Source organism: Homo sapiens, chromosome 8, assembly GCF_000001405.40.
Source record: "Homo sapiens chromosome 8, GRCh38.p14 Primary Assembly".
Classification (NCBI taxonomy): Eukaryota; Metazoa; Chordata; class Mammalia; order Primates; family Hominidae; genus Homo; species Homo sapiens.
In genome coordinates this window covers 15,728,985-15,750,013 of record NC_000008.11, presented here as the reverse complement: position 1 = coordinate 15,750,013, position 21,029 = coordinate 15,728,985, and the positions used below count along the sequence as shown (strand labels likewise).

At 33.8% G+C, this 21,029-nt stretch overlaps 1 protein-coding gene across 32 annotated transcripts in view; it reads right to left on the bottom strand.

The window, feature by feature from the left end:
- The window catches only part of TUSC3 (tumor suppressor candidate 3), a 434,904-nt gene that overhangs the window by 102,078 nt on the left and 311,797 nt on the right, over positions 1-21,029 (bottom strand). For 21 of the 32 annotated variants that reach the window (NR_182196.1, NR_182195.1, NR_182199.1 and 18 more), the window contains 3 exons: positions 19,285-19,348; positions 6,402-6,476; positions 1,549-1,639 (listed from right to left, as the gene is read on the bottom strand). The exons of 1 other annotated variant lie outside the window; for it this stretch is intronic. Coding sequence is in view for 26 of the 31 variants with exons in the window: in NM_001413670.1 (NP_001400599.1) it covers positions 1,549-1,639; positions 6,402-6,476; positions 19,285-19,348 (230 nt within the window). In the remaining 5 variants the exon portion in view is untranslated. Of the gene's footprint in view, positions 1-1,548; positions 1,640-2,641; positions 3,522-3,753; positions 5,881-6,401; positions 6,569-16,368; positions 16,623-17,397; positions 19,349-21,029 lie in introns of those variants that run through there. 10 more of the 32 variants (NM_001413685.1, NM_001413679.1, NM_001413674.1 and 7 more) reach the window with 7 other exon arrangements.

Genomic DNA, 21,029 nt, shown 5'->3' with positions numbered 1-21,029 from the left:
AGCAAGACTCCGTTTCAAAAAAAAAAAAAATCTCACAGTATCACTTACTGTATAGTTTATCTTTTCATAAAAAGAGATACAACATTTCCTTTGAAACTATAAGTGCTATAGATGAAAATGGATTAATTTTCAAGTGTTTTTGGCATCCTAGATAAAATACAGAGGATTTCTATTTTTCTTAATTTACAGTTTCCATTATAGAACACAGGCCAAACTAAGTACCAATCATACAAAAACATGATTCTCAATCCTAGAGCAGGGCAAAAGAAAAAAAAAAAAAACTTCATCTTTCTTGGATATTACTTAATCTTGGATTTGATTATTTCACATCATCAAAACCAAAATTGGCTGGCTCTCTAAAGTCAAGAGTAAAATGAAAAACCTGAAGACTCTGCTTGCCTCTCTCATAACCCTTGCTGCCCTCAGAACAGATATTTTTAAAAATTTACACTGCAGGCAGGGTGTCAGAAAATCTGATACCCACATTTCTTCCATTCCCTTGGTATATTTATTTTTAATGGGTGTGGGAAGAAGAGAATTGGAAATGTACCTCTGGCCACATATGAAAATAGAGGGGGTGGGGCTGAAGGGTCTTATTCTTGTATTATAATCCCAAAGTCAGATCTCCCTTTTATGGGATTAGTTTTTTCCCTGATAAAGCTATATATTGCTGCTATGATCTGTGTGGAAACGTTCTAAAAATGTCCACTGCTCACAGGTGGAAGAAATGTAGGCTTTGAGGAGCTTTTATTTTCTATCAACATATCACTGGTTCTACTACCTAACCAGAGTCTTCAAAATCTCTGAAAAAGGAAATACTGAGCTTTTACTCATTAGAAATGAGCTAACCTAAAAGAAGGACTCCTTAGAGAAAGAAAAAAATGTTAAGTTATTTAAGAAAACTTGAAGGAGGAAAAAGCTCAAGAATGAATATATGCCTAATTCATAAGCTGAACAACTGTAATCGGGCACCTCTTCTGTAGTGTGCTTTACTGAAACTATAGTTTGGTAATAATAATGCGGCCTTTGAATTTTCAATATATTTGTTGGTGAAAATCTTATGAGATACTCGTTATGATGATTTATAATGACCAGAAATTATTTTATTACTTAACTTTTCCCTTTCATGTTGGCTCTTATTTTGAAAAGTTAAAATTTTGTAGAATTCAAAAGATAATACAAAGTTTATTAGACAATGAACAGTGAATTATATGAGAAAACAATCTTGCAAATGAAGTCGAAATCACGACAAACTAAGGGAAGATAAAAATTTTCAAGTCCTCAAAATGAGCTTAAACCTCATTTGTTATATAAAAATATGTATGTCTAGAAAGAAACTACATGCTGTCAGGGAACAAGAACCATGCCTTATATCTCCTTTGTGTACTTCACTATGCTGAACACATGGCAGGTGCTCAAAAACTTGCTTAACTGAATTTAAAAAAACCACACAGCAACTTTACATTCATCCTTAATTATATATTAACCACTGAAACTCTGTTCTATTAGTTAAAAATAAAAACATTCATGTTAGTATAAAGATATTACCTATAAGGATAGCCGTGGTACTTGGAACGAAATATTGAAAGTAGAAAACTGAAGAAGAAGACCACCAGGCCCAATCCCACTAGGCAAATTACTAGAAACAGACAGAAAATACCATTAGTGTCTAAAAATATGCAAATGAAACCCCAATTGTTTATATTTTTAAATGCATTCAATTACAGTATACTTACATTTAACAGTTCATGGTACATACAGGTACAACAAACAGGTATTTGGATACAGGTATCCAATGTGTTCATTATTTTCCACATTCTTCTCAATGAAAATGTACTATTTGTGTCTTCTCAATGAAAATGTACTATTTGTGGTATGAAAACAACAAAATTGACTGATCTAAGTCTTCTGGAGGTTTTCTTCTTTTATAGAGTTCTTACAAGTACTAACATGCCCCAGAGTGATCAAAACAAAACATGTTATAAACCACAAACAAGATTATTGCCTCTTGCGTTATGAAGCATTGGCTATATTAGCAGGAACATTTGCATTGTTAGAATGCTTAATATAATTTTGATCTTTTCCGATGCTATGCAATAATTTTAGGTTTTTGGTTAGTATTGCCTCAGTAAGAGCATGTTATAGAAAGCAAGGAATAAAAGCTTGGAGAGAGAAAATATGGTCTAAGTGAAAACCAGAGGGGAGAAAACTCCCTCCATGGCAGGTAGTAGTGTCAAAATATTGTTACTGTTTGTCTTACAAAGAAACTGAGGACATATGTTATAGTCGAATGTGCTGCGGTCTAGGTTTTCAATATTCCTCTGTCCCAGGAAAGCTGAAAATACGAGCAGTACTTTATTTTCTCATTTCCTTTTTAGTATGATTGAGAAGATTTTACTCTAAAGCAGATGCATAATAAAATATGTTTCTTTTGCATATAGTATTTTGGATATTTAAACAAGATTCACTGCAGTTAGTACAATCTAAACATGCTTATAAAATTTAAATACTTAATCTGAGCCAATTAAAGTACGTTTAGAATAAAAGACAAAGATATTTAAATAAAATTTATTTAAATATATAAGTAGAAATTAGTGTTAATCTCTTAAGAAATATCTAAACATCTTTTAAGAACACATAATTTGCACAATACACCTTTTATTCACTTCAGAGAATTCTAAACAATTTGAAAAATATTTGAAGTTATTTGTAAAATAGAGAAAGATTAAAGCAGAAGAAAATAAGGAAAATCAAACAGATCTATATGATTCTATAATAAGGAACTATGATTTTTAAAATTTTTTCCAATATATAAACCAAACCAAGTTTAACTGCAATTCTGGCAATCATGGAGTACATAAGGTACGGCTTTGTCAAAATATGGTCTGCAAATGTGTCAATTTTTATGCAACTCTACAGGAATATCTTCTAAGTTTTGAATATGAATTGTGAAACAACACAAACATTTAATAGCATCCAAGTGTAGCCTCTGACATTTCATTTCAGACAACACTCATGCAGCTGAACTTCAAATGAATATTGGGAGAAAATAAAGCAAAAAATGAGTCTGTGAGTATCATAAAATAAAAAAAACATTTTTGAAAATTATAGAATATCCCTGTATGACACATACCAGGACCCAGATACAGCATAGTAACAACTTTGTTTATAAAAACCTATAATTAATTACAAAATTATTTACTCTATACTTCCCAAATCTGTCATTTTATCTAACACGTCTTTCTTTTCTTTTCCTTCCATCTCCTTTTTTATTTTTCAGAAGAATAAAGCACTCTTTTCATTCCCTTTGCTCCTTTTTAGTAGCCCCATTGGGTTGTGCTCTATCAGAAATGAGGCTTGAAATGTGTGATCAAGTAAGACAGAAGATAATTACTTGATCCTATGCAGTGGAACAAAATAATGCTACTCAAGTACTTGTATATGGGAAGGCAGAGGAACTCAGTGCAGGGAGGGGTTAATAATTATTAAAGGAACCACGGCAGCCACATGAGATACTACACCTGTGAAAATAAAATGCCATAATGAGGCAGATGCATTCTGACCTGGGAAATATTAATCATAGTAGTTGTGCCACATCAAAAATAAAAATCACATCAAAAAGGAATAATTTGAAAGTTTTAAAATATGTTTTCCAGCTCACTTTCATACACACACAAGCACATACACAACATGAATAATTAATTTGGGGGTGGCTGGGAGCTGGAGTTAGAGAAACAAACATCTACCAAGAGAGGAGTTGAAAACGGTGATTTAATAAATTGAGTATCATATTGCTACAATAAATATTGTAAGATTTAAAAATTTACTACAAATTTCTTATTTACCTTAAGACAGGATATACAATAAACACATAATTAACAGTATCTCCTCCACACAGACCAATGGAACAGAATAGAAATCGCAGAAATAAAGCTGCACACTCTCAACCATCTGATCTTCAACAAAGTTGACAAAAACAAGCAATGGGGAGAGGACTCTCTATCCAATAAATGTTGCTGGGATAACTGGCTAGCCATATGCACAAGAATGAAACTTGGCCCCTACCCTTCACCATATAGATGAAAAGTAAATGTAACACCTAAAACTTTAAAAATCCTAGAAGAAAACCTAGGAAATGCCTGTCTCAACATTGGCCTTGGCAAAGAATTTTTTTTACTAAGTCTCCAAAGGCAATTGCAAATAAAAACTGGCAAGTGGGACTGATTAATGAGCCTCTGCACCGCAAAACAACAAGACAGAGTAAACAGACAACCTACAGAATGGGAGAAAATTTTTGCTAGCTATGCATCTGACAAACATCTAGTATCCAGAATCTACACGGAACTTAAATCCACAAGCAAAAAACAACCCCATTAAAAAGTAGAAAAAGGATATGAACAGGTATTTCTTAAAAGACAGACAAGTGGCCAGTAAACATATGAAAAAATGTTCATTATCATTACTCAGCAGAGAAATGCAAATCAAAACCACAATGAGATACCATCTCACTCCAGTCAGAATGGCTATGATTAGAGTCAAAAAGCACATACCGGTGAGGTCGTGGGGAAAAGGGAATGCTTATGCACTGTTGTCGGGAATGTAAATTAGAGCAGCTACTGTGGAAAACAGTTTCGAGATTTCTCAAAAAACTTAACACAGTGCTACCTTTGGCCCAGCAACCCCCTTACTGGGTATACACCCAAAGAAAAATAAATCACTCCACCAAAAAGACCCATGCACTCTTATGTTTACTACAGCCCTATGCACATCAGCAAAAAAATGAAATCAACCCAGGTTGATTCCATGGTACATATATACCACATCAATGACGGACTAGATAAAGAAAATGTGGTATGTATGCACCATGGAATACTATGCAGCCAAAAAGAACAAAATCATCTCCTTTACATCAATAGGAATTCAGCTGGAGGCCATTATCCTAAGTGAATTAACACAGAAACAGAAAACCAAATACCTCATGTTCTCACTTGTAAGTGGGAGCTAAACATTGTGTACATATGAACATAAAGATGAGAACAGACACGACTAGAGTGGGGATGGAGTGAGGAGCGTGTAGGTTGAAAAATCACCTGTTTGGTACTAAGCTCATTATTGGGTGATGAGATCCTTACCTAAACCTCAGTATCATCCAAAATACCCATGGGACAAACTTATACATAAACCCCCAAATCTAAAATAAATTATTAAAAAAATAGTATGTCCTCATAGGCATAATTTGTCAATCCTAAGGACATGGTGTTTATTCAAAAGATAAATAAATAAAATTCAACATGATAAAGTAATCTCCTTTCTTTTGTAGTTTCTTTAATACAATAGATGATACCATAGGAAAAGAGGGCAGTCTAAACTGTGTATTACATCAAAAACATTTCTACCCCTAAGACTTTTAAGTATTTAGAAAGCACTATGATTTGTTTACACACATGTCACCCTAGCTAAAAACCCATGAAGTCTGGATTTTTATTTTAAATATCTTAATAAATACTCTTTTTCAGATACCTATACTGCTCATACATAAATTTTGGGTTTTAAAGAGAGTTCAGAAATGCAAAGAAAGAAAAAAATAACAGGTCTGTGGACATATCAAATCATATAGGGACTTGATATTAACTATAAAAAGGTCTGTGGCAGGAAACAATCGACTGTCCTTTGCTCCTCAGAGCACATTTTCCCTGTGTGTTCTTCTCTTTTTGCTAGAAAACTCTTTACTTCTCAAAAACCTCATATATGTTTTTCTACAACTCTGAGAGAAATGGTCCCATCAAAGAAAAGCCACAGAATTAACTTGCTTAAAAACATAATGCCGGAGAACTTGAGGGAGTTGTAAATCTTGGTATATCAATGGAAAAGGCAAAGACCCTGGAAAAGATAGTATCAATAGATGCCTTTTAAAAAATGTTAAAGGAAGCTTTGGAACGAATAGAAAGGTAATAAGAGTATCTCACTGTACAATACCTATGCAGAAGCTTCATCTAAGTCACGCTTTGAGCGCACCCCTGATTCTTGTAGCAGAGGGAATATGTTACATGCCAATAAAATCTCTGAAGACTCTGCCCTCAAAATTTTCCATCTCTCTGTGCCGGGTGGAATTACAACCAAGACTATGGCTTCAGCAGGGATGGATTAGAGCACCCTGACAAGGGTGAAGGACAGCTCCACTTTATAAGCAAATCAACAGAAAACGACCCAGTCCCCTTTGGAAGAAATATATTTTCAAGTATATGAACACATCCCAGCAATAGAAAAAAGTTAAAATCTTCTTCAAACCAGAACATTTCTTTAGAAGTTTGTTTACAAAGGGCTTTTATGTATTTCCCATTTGACTTAAATGAATCTTAAGACTAAAACGAAATTACAAAAATGGCAACACAGAGACTTACTCCGTCTTTTTCCAACATCGCCTTTCGAAGTTGCTGCTTCATTTAGAAGAACCATCCCCATGGTGATAGCGGCATCTGCAGTAGTTGTCAAGGAAGCCGTAGACATAGATGTGAATAAAATCTATTAATTTTTCTGGCTCTGAACACAATGTTCCAGAATGGTTAAACTACAAATGCACACAGAGGTAAATACAATCAATTACCTTTATATAACATAAAATTACCATTCTTTGTGAGCAAATATGCCTTAACTTTAAAAATTTATAACCTGAAACTTCAATTTGTGATATATTGAGAGGCTAATTCCAAAGGTTCTTAAATTCCAGGATTTTCACAGCACATATAAACTATATGGACTCTCAAAACCAGTTACCACATTTCACATTATACATAAAGATATGCACTGCTTATAGACATGACACATGTCATTGACACATTTCATTTTCATAACGTGTGTGTACACAGCTTTTTCTTCTAAAAGCATTTTTTCATAGATTTTGTTTAGTTGAAATCTTTATGAAGGTCCGGTATCATGTCACTTGAAAATCTGGGGTTATACAATTAACAATCTTACAAAAGCAGACAAGCATATTATAATAAAACAATTTAATGAATCTAGCAGGACCCTGAGCTAGTCAGCTAACTGATACCTTAAGAATGAGATCACAAAATTACTTGTTTTTAACACCTGCTTGCAACAGGATGGATATATTCATGCTATGTTGAATAATGCCAGAATTAAGAAAATGGGAAATTTTCATCTTCATAAAAACATTCTTTGCCATGTCATTACAACATTTTTCACATTGTCGACTCTTAAGATTTTAGAACTCATCAATTCTGAAAATATGTATTTCGCCCAAGCGATTAATGGACTAAAAATTGAAGAGAAAAATGAAGCAATTCTAGCCCAGAACCTCCTCAATTTGCTTAATTTCATTATGATTCCCTTGTGTTTCTTTCTACTGCTATTTGTGTATAAACAGCATCAATGAATCTCCTGTGCAGGATGTCTCTATCAACAAAAGCTCAAAGGACAGTATTGGGCAATATACCAGCAAGTGGAGGAGGTCAGAGAAAATTCTGCACAGAACATTTCCTCTCTGAGTCTTGTTTTTATAACCATATTATTGAAATTCTAATTAGTAATAAATTATAATGTTCATATTTGAATCTGTCTTCATGACCATATTATCCAACTTCTGGATAAGGATAAATGCCTGACTTCTCTAGTAAGGCATTTATGCTTCCATGACCTCTCTATACAAACGGTTTTTCAAACTATTGTATTTGTTTTAGCTTTGGAACCCTTTCTAGAAAAAAGGAAAATAAAGAAAAACCTATGTTTGGGAGCCTAACATATACAAGAGAAAAGCCCCTCCCACCATACACATACCATAGACTAGCACTAAACTTTTAGAGATCCATGCTACACAGCTTGAAAAACACTGAAATTTCTATGAAATTCCTGCCTTTCAATCATGTAGGCAGTAGCCTGAAAAGAATATTCTAAGAGAATGACTGTTTTGTATCATCAGTATGGTAGTCTGTAGACTTTAAATTAAATCCATTATTCTTAAAGTGTTTTGGACCATCTACTTGTATACATTACCCCGAATCCACAGACATGGGACATTGTTAATAACAACATGATAAAAATTAAAAACTTGTTTCACTAAAACTGTTCATATGTAGGAGATTTCTACTGCTTAAAACTCAGTTTTCTAGAGCAGATAGATGTGACTGATATGGATCCTTAACAAGGAGTTACTAAGTTTCCCCTTTAATCATTTTTTCTGCAATATCTTTTATATGCATGTATAAATTTTTATCTACACATTTAAATACACATATTTAAACTAATAATTCAAATAGAATTGCAGATTATTTTACTATGACTTTTTAATTTTTTTTTTTTAATTTTTAGAGACACAGTTTCACTTTGTAGCCCAGGCTGCAGTGCAGTGGCACGATCTTGATTCACTGCAACCTCTGCCTCCCAGGTTCAAGCGGTTCTCATGCCTCAGTGTCTCGAGTGGCTGGAAGATCACAGGAGTGCACCGCCATGCCCGGACAACTTTAGTATTTTAGTAGAGTTGGGGTTTCGCCATGCTGGCCTCAAGTGGTCTGCCTGCCTCGGTCTCCCAAAGTGCTGGGATTACAGTTGTGAGCCACCGCGCCCAGCTACTATGACATTTTTAAATATTCAAAACATAAATGGCATTTAAGATGAATTTATGTAGACATTAAAAGTAAAACATACATTCATTTTATGATTCATCTAATAAGCAGCTTCCTCAATTCGATTAATGAATCATGGGGGAAATGGCAGTATTTCTATTACTGGGGAAAATAAAGCCTACAAAATAAAATGTATGACAGTTTTAATGGGAGTAAAGCAATATATTAGTATGTTCTTAGGGTCAAATTTTATACACATATAAATGCACATGTACACAAACATGTTATCGGTTTATACACACACAAAGCCATGAACTCAGGGAAAAGTATATTTTACAGGGCATTAATTATGGTCACCCAAGTATAACATATCCCTATAAATGTATCTTCATATCATTTTTACTACTCTCCCTCTGTATTGTTACAATGTTGAAAACTATGAGTAACATGTTTCTCATTTGAATTGCTTAAATTCAAACAATGTGGTAACAGAAAATTACGTACATTTTCGTAAGAGTATACCATATTTTATTGCTTTATCTTACTGATGGCATTTGTTTCCAAATGCTTGCTACTATAAACATTCCTGCAAAGAATATATTTTCACAGGTCTCCTAGTGTACATGTGCAATATTTTCTCCACGGTCTATAACCATAAGTGGAATTTTTGAGAGGTTTGGTAAGTGTATTTTCAAATTCGCTACGTACAATCATACTGCTCTCTAAAATGAGCAATGTTAGTTCAAGTTTTCTTACATTTCACTAACACAATACTACCCAATTATTGATTTTATCAAACTGATAAGGAAAAGAGTTGTACGAATAGCTCACCACTTGGTTCTGAGCATCTTTTGATATGTTCATTCCTCTTTTTTGGGTTTAATCTTTGGCACACTGCTTGTTCTTTTTTTTTCCTCCCGTTTTTCCAAAAGCACAGTTGCTTTTTCTTAACTTGGAGGACAACATTTTTTTTTCCAGATACGAATTGACTGAAGTATTGCGTTCAGATTCTCCTTTATATTTGTATTTTAAATTATTCTGTCATGTAGAAAACTTTAATTTTAATGTGGCCAAATTTATGCATCTTTTCCTTTATGAGTTTTGGTGGTTGTTTCCTGCTTTAGAAATTAAATCCTCCTTCTAGGTTTCTAGCCTTTTCTCCTAATACCTTCAAAGCAAGTCAGGTAATAAGGAGATCTTTGAACTTGTTATTCCCACTGCCTGAGGTACTTTTCCCTGGGATGGCCATGTAATTTACTCCCTCACTTCCACTGGGTCTCTGTTCAAATTCAATCTTGTCAGAGAAGCCTCCTCTCACCTTTACTCTGATTTTTTTTTATTATAAAATTGTTTTTGAAAGAAATTTCAGATTGTATACGTTTTACAATGTACTTATTGTCTTTGTTCCAGCACTACAATTTTAGCTCCAAAAGGGCAAGAACTTTGTTTTATTCACTATCTTACCCAGTACCAATAACTCTCTGATGTAGACATTACCATCTGTTTACAAACAAGGAAACTGAAGCCCAGAGAAGTTTAAACAACTTGCTCAAAGTCACAAAACTAAAGAGTGAAAGATGCAAAGCAAAAAAGCACAAAAGTAATGAAGTAAGATGATATCAGGATTAGATGAAAATGATAACAAGCATTGGGCAAAGAACATAATTGCTAGCCCAGTTTCAGCATGAAATATCTTTAGGCTAAGAATAAAAATCTTCTTCATAAAGCACAGAGCATTCAAATACATTTTACTACTCCATAAACATATTCCAGATTTTACAAATAAGTTTGCAATAACTCACAAAATTGCCATTTTAAAGATGTCTATGAATTTACCTTTATATCACTTATGTTTCACGCTGCTTTAAATCATTTTTATAATTTACTATTTTTGTTGGGAGCAAATGCAGTAACAATATAGCATTTTTCAAATTATATGAGTTAAAAAAATATGCAGACTCCCTATTAACAGGGCAGAAATGGAACAGAAACCCCAAGTCAACATGAAAATTTTAAGATTTCAGCATGTCAAAAACCTCAGCAAATCATCAATTATCATTAATTATATGTGCCAGAAGTATGCTCATGAACTACACTCCTATAAAGCTATTCCCAAATAAATAAGGCAAAACATAAAATACTGAAAAAACTTAATATACATACAAAAATCTATTTTAGAATAATTTATATAGTGAAAAATTAAAATGTAAATGTCCAACTATAACATATGAGATATTTTTGTGACAGGTTAACTAGCCATATAAAATGAAATTGACAAAAATTCTTAATAACAAAGCAAGAGGCCAGGCGCAGTGGCTCACGCCTGTAATCCCAGCATTTTGGGAAGCTGAGGCAGGCGGATCACAAGGTCAGGAGTTCAAGACCAGCCTGGCCAATATGGTGAAATCCCGTCTCTATTAAGAATACAAAAATTAGCCAGGCATGGTGGCGCGTGCCTGTGGTGCCAGCTGCTCAGGAGGCTGAGGCAGAGGAGTTGCTTGAACTTGGGAGGCAGAGGTTGCAGTGAGCCGAGATTGCACCACTGCACTCCAGCCTGGGCAACAGAGTGAGACTCCCTCTCAAAAAAAAAAAAAAAAAAAAAAAGCAAGATATATTAATAGTAATTTTGTCACCATACCAAGTGAAAAGATGTATATGTTTGTATAATATGTATAAAAGTATATATAAAACCTGACTCCTTTAAAACAAATGCAAAGAAATGATTGCAGGGAATGAAAGATAAAAACAGTAACTGTTCACGGGTGAGTTAATAAAAGTGTGGATTTTTGTGTTCTTTATTGACCACAGCCTATAGAGCAGAAATTGCCATACTTTTTCAGGAAAGAGTCACACGTATTTTCCAGCTATGCAAGTCATATGGAGTCTGTTGCTATTACTCAACTTGTTGTAGTGCAAAAGTAGTCACAGGCAATACGTAAATGAATGGGTGTTTCTGTGTTCCAATAAAACTTTATTTACAAAAATAGCAGGCAGGTTGGATTGGGCCTGAACTGGTCCTAGTTTGCCAAACCCTGCTGTAAAGATTTTAAGGTGATGTCAAAAAAACTGTATACCATTATGTCTCACTGGAATTTAGCTTTATTCTTACTTGACAATTTTTTAAAATGCAAGAATTTAGTAAACATTTGTGCACACAACCTTAAAGTGGGAATTTTAAAGCAAAGGGATTACTAGACATAGGTTATATACAACCTCAAGATAAAATGTTTTGTTAGAAATCAGCGGGGTCAGTAAGTAAGTATGATCTCTTTCTCAGAATGTTTCTTGCAAAAGTGAGTTTTCTAAGCTTTAACAAGAAAAGAGCAGTGAGCCGTTTAAAAACCTGATGGGTGTAATTAAGACATATGAATTATACTAAAATGGCTTTAAGCTCGCTAACCCTCCCTATTATTTAAAGATACATTTTTTAACTCAAGGCCTTTAGGAGTTGAGTTGAGAATCGTTTAGCTTAAATTTCATTGTATTAACTGAAACATTTTTGGCTGAAAAAGAGACTGAATAATACTTACCATTTGGGGAAAATTACATTTGTAACATAAAAATCTTAATTTTTATATGCAGGAAGAAGCTAGATGATCATCTCTCACTGTTCTTACGTGGCATTTCTTTCACTGAGTGGAAGGCTGAATGATTAATGAAAGACCCTCCAAATCTGAAAAGATTCTACGTCTGACCAAAAAGAATGTTACGTTCTTTTTTGGTCATTAAATTGATGGGTGTAGCCGTCTAGCTTTGCCTTATTGGAATATCCCAGCATTAAAAGAAAATAACAGATGGACCTCTACCCTTTATCCTATACACACATACTTTGGCCTAGTTTTTGTATTACTTTGCACATTTTTATTGATTAATATCATGGCAATATATATTTAAACTACTGTGCACACTCCAGTTTCTTTGCTGATCCTGTTGATCATTTTCCTACTGCTTAGTCAAAATACTGACATGATCCCACATAAAAAAGCTGCTATTTGTGTAAATTACATACAATACCCAGAGGCACTGAGCATTCTACAGAATTAGTAACGAATATATTTACAAAACATTATAATCCCTTCTCAATTGCATATGCTAAGTTTACTGTTGCTACTAGGAATGGAATCAAGATGTTTTCAATTTAAAGATAGATAAATGTAAATAGACGTTGAAAAAAATGTTAGCACATTATAGAAGACTTACTTAAAGAATTCTAAATCTAAAATTTTCAACTGCATCTATCATTAATTTTTTTCTATAGTATGTTTCTCCTTGGATATAACACATTAAAAGGAATGTTTGCTCTCTATAATAGACTAGAAACAGATGCGAATAAAATCATATTCTTTCATAATAAATGGAAAAAATGTTTTGCTCACAGAAAATGCAATGTTATCTTTATAAGAATAAAAATTTTAAATTGCTAGTATAACCTTTACTTTTATATAAATAATTTTACTTCTAACTAATATTTATTTCATGTCATTTTCTTGAGATCTTCTAACTTAGGTCAGAGATTATATAGTTGACACTAAAGCTTATCCTAGAACTCACGTGTTCTATATCCACTCATACAGAGAGACCATATCTTGGTGAATTCAGTGGGAACATTACTGTCTACGGAAACTAATTTGATCTGGTTGAAATTTTAAATAAAATTTTAAATGACATAGTTCTGCCCCTCCTGGACTGACTACTGATTGATAGAAAAAAAGGCAGATTAGTTAGGACAGTAAAATCATACATATCTGCAAACATTTCTCTAAATGTGAAATGAAGATGCCTTTTTATTTTAGAAAACCACTACTTGTAATTACATGTCTGTTTTATTGTGCCATATTTATAAGTGTATTTAGTAAGAAAAGCAGATTTAAGATTATCTCATTAAAATCATACATGAGGTTTTGAATTTTAAGAACATTCTATAATCAAAAACATACCCTACCTTAATTTTATCATTTGATACCACAGTTCAAATTCTCTACTCTGGGAAATTATATAAAGAGTTTTAAACACAATTTTATATATTTCATATGCATACTAATTCTTCCAATTATGGTTTCAAAAACTGCATATTTTCACTTCATGATATTCCACTTAAGATCCATGTGCCTCAAGCCTGAGTCTACTGAATTTTGGACATTTGAAAACTTTTTAAGAACATAATTGTAAATGAAGAATTATTTGCACTGTCATTTGTTGTGTGTCTTCCTCTTCCTTTAGACTGTAAATGCCACACCATCAGACATCTTGTCAGGTTTTGTGACTCTTGTATCTCAGCACAAAGCACATGCACCTGCGTGTATGTGTGTATTTATGTTTACATATCCCCACACACATTTGTTTTTATACTGCTAGAGGATATTGTCTTCTGTACAAAAATACGATAGAATAACTAAAGAAATATCGCCGGGCGTGGTGGCTCATGCCTGTAATCCCAGCACTTTGGGAGGCCAAGGTGGGCGGATCACGAGGTCAGGAGATCGAGACCATCCTGGCTAACACAGTGAAACCCCGTCTCTACTAAAAATACAAAAAAAAACCAAAAAAACAAAAAAAAAAAACCCATTAGCCGGGTGTGGCAGCGTGCACCTGTAGTCCCAGCTACTTGGGAGGCTGAGGCAGGAGAATGGCGTGAACCCGGAAGGCAGAGCTTGCAGTGAGCGGAGATCACGCCACTGCACTCCAGCCTGGGCGACCAAGAAGTGAGACTCCGTCTCAAAAAATAAAAATAAAAAATAAATCAACATATCCACTGTATCTTTATTATGATGATCTTTTCAGATATTTACAACAAATAAACACAATATATAATTTGGTGAGAACATTACTGGCCTATTCACCACAGAGGTTTTGATTTATTGGCAAAATATTACTAAGTAGAAAAACAATGGGTTAAAAGTTTTAAGTTCTTGACTCTTCAACTGATTGGCTTTATGATCTTAAGCAATTTAAACAAATTAATCCCTTTCTCATCAACCAATTATGAGGCCTAATCAATCTTAGGAACTTTTTTGGGCTAAACATTGCCCTCCAAACCTTGTTCTCCTCCATATTTCTATCCTACAACACATAGCTGAACTTCAGAATCATCTCTGATTCCTGTTCTTGAACCTTACTTGTGACATTTATTATCAATTTTGTTTCTTCTTCCTCTAAAACAGCAGCTGAGTCACTCTCCATTCCCTTACTTAGGTTCATGCTGGAGGATGAACCATTGCCAGCAGCCAGAACGACTGCCAGCGACTCCTGCTTCCTTTGCTCTACCTTCTCTACCCTATCCTTAATATTATTACAGGAGCAAGCCTCCATTGGCTTTCTGTTCCCTAAACAGGCATGACGCTACTATTTCCCTTTCCACAGCCAAATTTATCAAGAAGACATGCGGGGCTCAACCTCATAATACTTCAAAAAGAATTCGTAAGTTACCCAATGCCAAATATATAAAATTGGCATATTAATTGCACTGCATCTACTACGTGTAGCTAAGATTCAAATTTCTCAGCAAGGTCTTCATTATCCAGCCTAACCTAACTTTCACCAATCTCCTCAAAATTTGTATTCCAGCCTTGATGAATTTATCTTCCTGCAATAAAGAATATTTGCTGTCATTTTGATTGTGTACCTGTTGTATCTTCTACCAATATAGCCTCCTTACCCATTTCTCTGTCTCTGAAACTTTTTATACTTCAATATCCAGCTGAAAAGTCAGTGCCAATTCTCTAGACAGGGAGTTAGTTCCTCTCTTGCTACTTCCTTTGCCTTCGCATACATTTGTCTCACTGTATTATAAGTATTTTTCTGTCATCCTACCTTTCTGTAAACAGCAAGTATCTCATTCACATTTGCATTAGATGGTGAAAGCATTAACAAAAGGAAAAATAAATGAAATAAAAATGAATTTTTACTTGCAAAAATATAAAGCCCTATGTAAGTTATTTTTAGATGGTTTATATTCCATATTAAAATATAATGTTTCTTATTTTTTCATATAGTTTTCTCTCAAAGACTACTTAGGATTGTTTTCTTAAATAAGATACTGAAAAAATAAAACACTACTGATATGGAGATATTTTTATTCTTAGTAAATATAAATCTATAACCTATGATACAAAATGCTCCATCTGTTTTCTCTTATGATTTTTTCAGCAAAACTTTGTATATAGCAACTGCATCTGATAATCTGACTTACTAAATTGGGACAAGAAATCCAAAAGATAGAAATGTTCTCTCTACAGATAAATGAAAAGTAATCATCTGGTATTTGTAATTTTTTGCCAGAAGAAAACAAAATACACAAATTACAAAGAAAATATGGATTGTTCAAAAAGTAGCAGTAGACTGTCAAATGAAACTAGAATCAGAAATTATTGAAAAATAACTTCTTTTTTGGAGACGGGGTCTCACTCTATCGCCCAGATTCAAGTGTAGTGTGTGAGCACAGCTCACTGCAGCCTTGACCTCCCGGGCTCAAGTGATCCTCCTGCCTCCGCCTCCCAAGTAGCTAGAACCACAGGTGTATGCCATCACATCTGGCTAATTTTGTAATTTTTTGTAGAGACAGGATTCCCCCTACTGTTGCCCAGGCTGGTCTCAAACTCCTCAACTAAAATGATCAGCCTGTGAAAGTGCTGGGATTGCAGGCATGAACCACTGTGCCTGGACTTCTTTTAAAGTTTCACTGATAATGAGTCCACCATTTTAAAAGAATTTTTCTCTTTCTTAGTAATAGATATGTCTAAAATAAAAAACACAGGAAAAATGAAGCAACAAATAATGACTATTAGCATAAAGAGAATACAGACTTTTAATTCTTTTATGTATCACTGCTAAGATCTATATGAAAACATTCACACTGCTTGTGAAATTTATTTGAATCCTAAATCTCAGCTTGATGTCAATGATCCATGAAATTAAACCTTGGAGAATTCCTGCCATACAATAAAAGGATGATCTCAACACAGCTTTTCATCCTTCAGCTCGGTATTCCTGATGTGTTTCGATAGTCATCACTTTATCCAGATAAAGTATACTGCTAAGATGCTACATCATGGATTGAAACAAGTTAGGAAAAAAAAAAAAACAAAAAGAAGCTATAATATTTAAATAAATGAGTTAAAAACTTACCTGCAACAAATGCTTTATGTTTCTATCCATTTGCTTTAATGTTAACATGTTTTGCTTCCTGAATATCTTTAAATAGTAAGTCGAGAGTAAATACAGCTTTGCCCTTATTTTTTAATAGAGAGGAGTAGATATGTCTATAAACATATACACAAAGACTTCCTTTTCTCACCGAAGGCACCTCTGATGTGCAGAAAGCATTAATCTCTTACCATATTAAAGCAGGTGTGCAGAAACTGAGCATTTGTTGAAAAATACAACAAAATTTGTATTTCCAGTTCCAGTCTATGAGACAAACTAGAGCCAAACAAGTACTCCTCACAGTAGTTTCTTAATTTTGAAACCATAAAGCATACAGGCAAGTAAGTAAATGTAAGCAAGAAATGGGCTGCAGATGTGCCCAATTTCACGTATGTATCCAAGCATGCATCATCAAGGGTGGGAGAAATAAAAATGTTGAGAATGGAGACAGACACAGGAAGAAGATGGTCAGTGGTGTTCAATGAGTTTCAGAAAGGTATCTTTTCGTTCTCCTGCAATATAAACGCGATTTGTAATCTTGTTCTTCTCAACTTCATTCCTTCGTTTTCATTAAAGCTTGAAAAACAATGCCTTTGTATTACCTTATAAGTTATACAATTTAACGGGTTCAAAAATGTTGCTCTAGAAAAATTAAGTCATTTCAATGTTTACATTTCAAGTTTTAGAATTTTGATAAATTTTATTAGAAGATGATTTTTTTTTTCCTGGTCATCTACACCTTTGTCAAAAGCTAGGTGTATTTGTTCTCACGCTGCTAATAAAGATATACATGAGCTTGGGTAATTTATAAAGAAACAAAGGTTTAACGGACTCACAGTTCCATATGGCTGTGGAAGCCTCACAATCATGGTGAAAGGCACATCTTAGATGGAAGCAGGAAAGAGACAGCATGTGCAGGGGAATGCCCCTTTATAATACCATCAGATCTCATGAGACTTACTCATTATCATGAGAACATCATGGGAAAAACCCACCCCCAAAATTCAATTACCTCCCACTGGATCCCTCCCATGACAAGTGGGGATTATTACAATTCAAGGTGAGATTTAGGTAGGGACACAGAGCCAAACCATATCACTAAGGAATCAACCCATATATACGTATTTATGCTTATTATCTGTGGCCACCAAAGTTCAGAGTAAGAAAGAAGGGAAAACAGAGGAATACACCAACTAGCCTTTTGTGATTATTGGATGCTTAATGTGTGCTATCTCATTTCTTCACACAGAAATCCCGTGTGGTCAGTATTGCTAATCCTGATTTTACAAACGAGGAAGTCTTTGAGTTTCTTGAGAATTCCAAGTGCTTCAAACATTTTCCATCCCTTTTCCCCACCATACCGTAATCACTATATACCACCACTTGATGCAGTGCCTAAAACACAGTAAGCAAATAAAATAGGTTGCTTGAATAAACTGAAGGGGTCAAATAAGTCTTTGCCAGTAGATTTTTAAAAATGCATTGTTATGACACAACAAAGTAATAAAATCCAAAAACTTCAATGTTGTTAAAAAGATAGTATTTTTCCTCCAGATTAAAAATAATAGGCATGACTAACATTCATTGGTGAAATGATATGTCACACACCATAATAAAGTATTGTACATAAAACTGAAGTACTTGAACACAGGATAGACCATGAAAAAGACAACTGAATTCTAATTCTAGCTCAAGTGGGCTTCCCTAACATAAGCCCTTTGTGGGCTCTAGTGTTCCTACATATAAAATGAGGTTTGGCCTAGATGAATTCAAAGATAGTTAAAGATTTACACCTTTGGTTATATACAGTACTGGACAATTTGGTCTAGACTACACATTTGAATATGAATCTTAGTAACCAGGATATTAGTAATCAAATTTTATAAAGGATACTAGAGGCACACGTTACATTCTCATAATGAGAATCAATGTTCCCCCAAAACAGTGTCCAAACTAATTTTATTTCATTCTAAGAATATTCACATTAGATGCTTAACCTTACCTTTTTCTTACCCTGCTACTATTTTTTATCCTGTTACATTCTTCATCCTTCTAACTCCAAATCATAAATTACATTGTATGATCTGATTCACAACACTTAGTCTGACTCACTCTGATATGTTCCAAAAAGGCATGTTGAACCACTCTAAATCTCCTTCTTCTGACATACCATATATTTAAGGGGAGCAGTACGAAAATACCTTTTTTAAGCTGCTATTTATATCATAAGGCACTTTTTTCTTGCCATTAGGATGCTATACGGAAAAGCCATATACACTTGAAAAAATCTAGCCAGAGATCATCAATGTAGAGTAAAAGTAATACTCTGAAATTCAACACTCAGTAAAAAAAAATTATGATCTGTTAATGATACGGAATAGCAACAAATTATACCGTAATAGGAAATAATTAGCATAAAAAATAAAAATTAGTCATATAGTACAGCCTAAAATTTAATGTCTCTTAAAAGTCTTGATATTTACTGCCAGGAAAAATGTCAATTTAAAAACATGTAGCTTTAGTTTGCCCTTTTCAATTCGTCGGTATCTTAAAAGGATACTCAGTACCAGAATAATGTGTGATTCTGCCACAAACTGAGCCTGGCTGCTCCCATGAATGTAGCTCTATAAAAGAAGACAAACAGAAATTACAGTCTGAGAAAGCCTCATAATTATTTTGTAGTTTTAAGTCATGAAGATAAACAATGGAAAAATCTAATTCGATTTTTACTAATTTTTTATTACTTTCTACTAAGTTCCAATTATTTTAAATGATTATTAGTTAAATGCAAATAGATGACAATGTTGGTTGATGATACTATTGTAAACTCTAGGTGGCAACTAAGTATCAAAAGCAAACTTAATATAACTTGTTAAAGGATTTATCACAAACATACACACATAAAATATGATTCCTGTAGAGGTATTGCAAAAGTACAAAATATAGCAAAACATTTTTATGATTTTTCATCCTTTAAAATAAGTTAGAAATGACCAAATGTCTAATCACTCCTTTCCACATTATCAAAGTTTTTAAAATACGGAGTCAGCTTTATAAATGCACATAATTCATTATAGCATTTAAATTTTTTCAAAACAAAATTATTAAAATTGTTTTCACCCTACTGAGTAGTATATAGTTGATAACAGTTGATTATAGAAAATCCAACACAAATCTCCATCTAGATTATTTGGCTTCTAAATTGATTCCCATGATTATTTCTGCTGATAATCTCTCTTACGAATATCAGTGACTGTGCAGTTGTTTTAAATAAATGTCCTATTTTCTATTTATATAAAAAAACTGGAGAAAAAAAATAACACCTTGGAGTATAAATCAATGCCTCAACTTTTACATCATTTATGATGTATAATTGTATCACATGCTTCAGATAGTTTTCTGAAGGTATCTTTTTTTTTTCTCGTCTTCAAACTTTTTCAGGGGGTACATGTGCAGATTTGTTACATGGGAAATTGCATGTCGCCGGAATTTGATGTACAAATGATTTTGTCTCCCAGGTAGTGAGTAAAGTACCTGATAGGTAGTTTTTCAATCCTCACTTTCCTCCCACCCTCCAACCTCAAGTAAGCCCCAGGGTCTACTGTTCCCCTCTCTGTCCATGTGTACTCAATGTTTAGCTACTACTTACAAGTTAAGATGTGGTACTTGGTTTTCTGTTACTGCATTAATTTGCTTAGGATAATGCCCTCTTGCTGCATTCATGTTGCTACAAAGGACATCATTTCATTTTCTATGGCTGTGTACTATTCCATGGTGTATATGTACCACATTTTTTTAATCCAGTCCACTGTTGATTGACAATCACATAAAGTAGTTATTACCTGTCATCTTCCAAATGAGGAAACTGAGACTTAGAAAAATTTACCTAACTTGTTCAAGATTGCACAACTAGTAACTGATGAAGTTTGGACTGAAACCTAGGACTGTTTGTATAGGTATGTATGCCCTTTCCACCACATAGTAACAACTTACCAAAACAGAGGAGGAACGTCAAGTAAAACTTTGTAAAAACTTTAATTAAATGTTGACAGTTAAAGTAATTAACATCAATATTTACATCACTGACTAACATATCTGAGTTTAACAGTACAGGATAATATGGCCAAATTTACGTAACAACTGCAAAATAGTTTGCCTCTCTGAAGATCACAAATTTAGAGAATAACTTCAGACGTCTTCTAGGTGAGTGATTTATAATCTCTTCTGTTTATTTTCAGTAACAGTATCTTCTCTGATCAATCTTTTGTCAAGGTCATCAATGGACTCCCCCATTACCAAATCCTA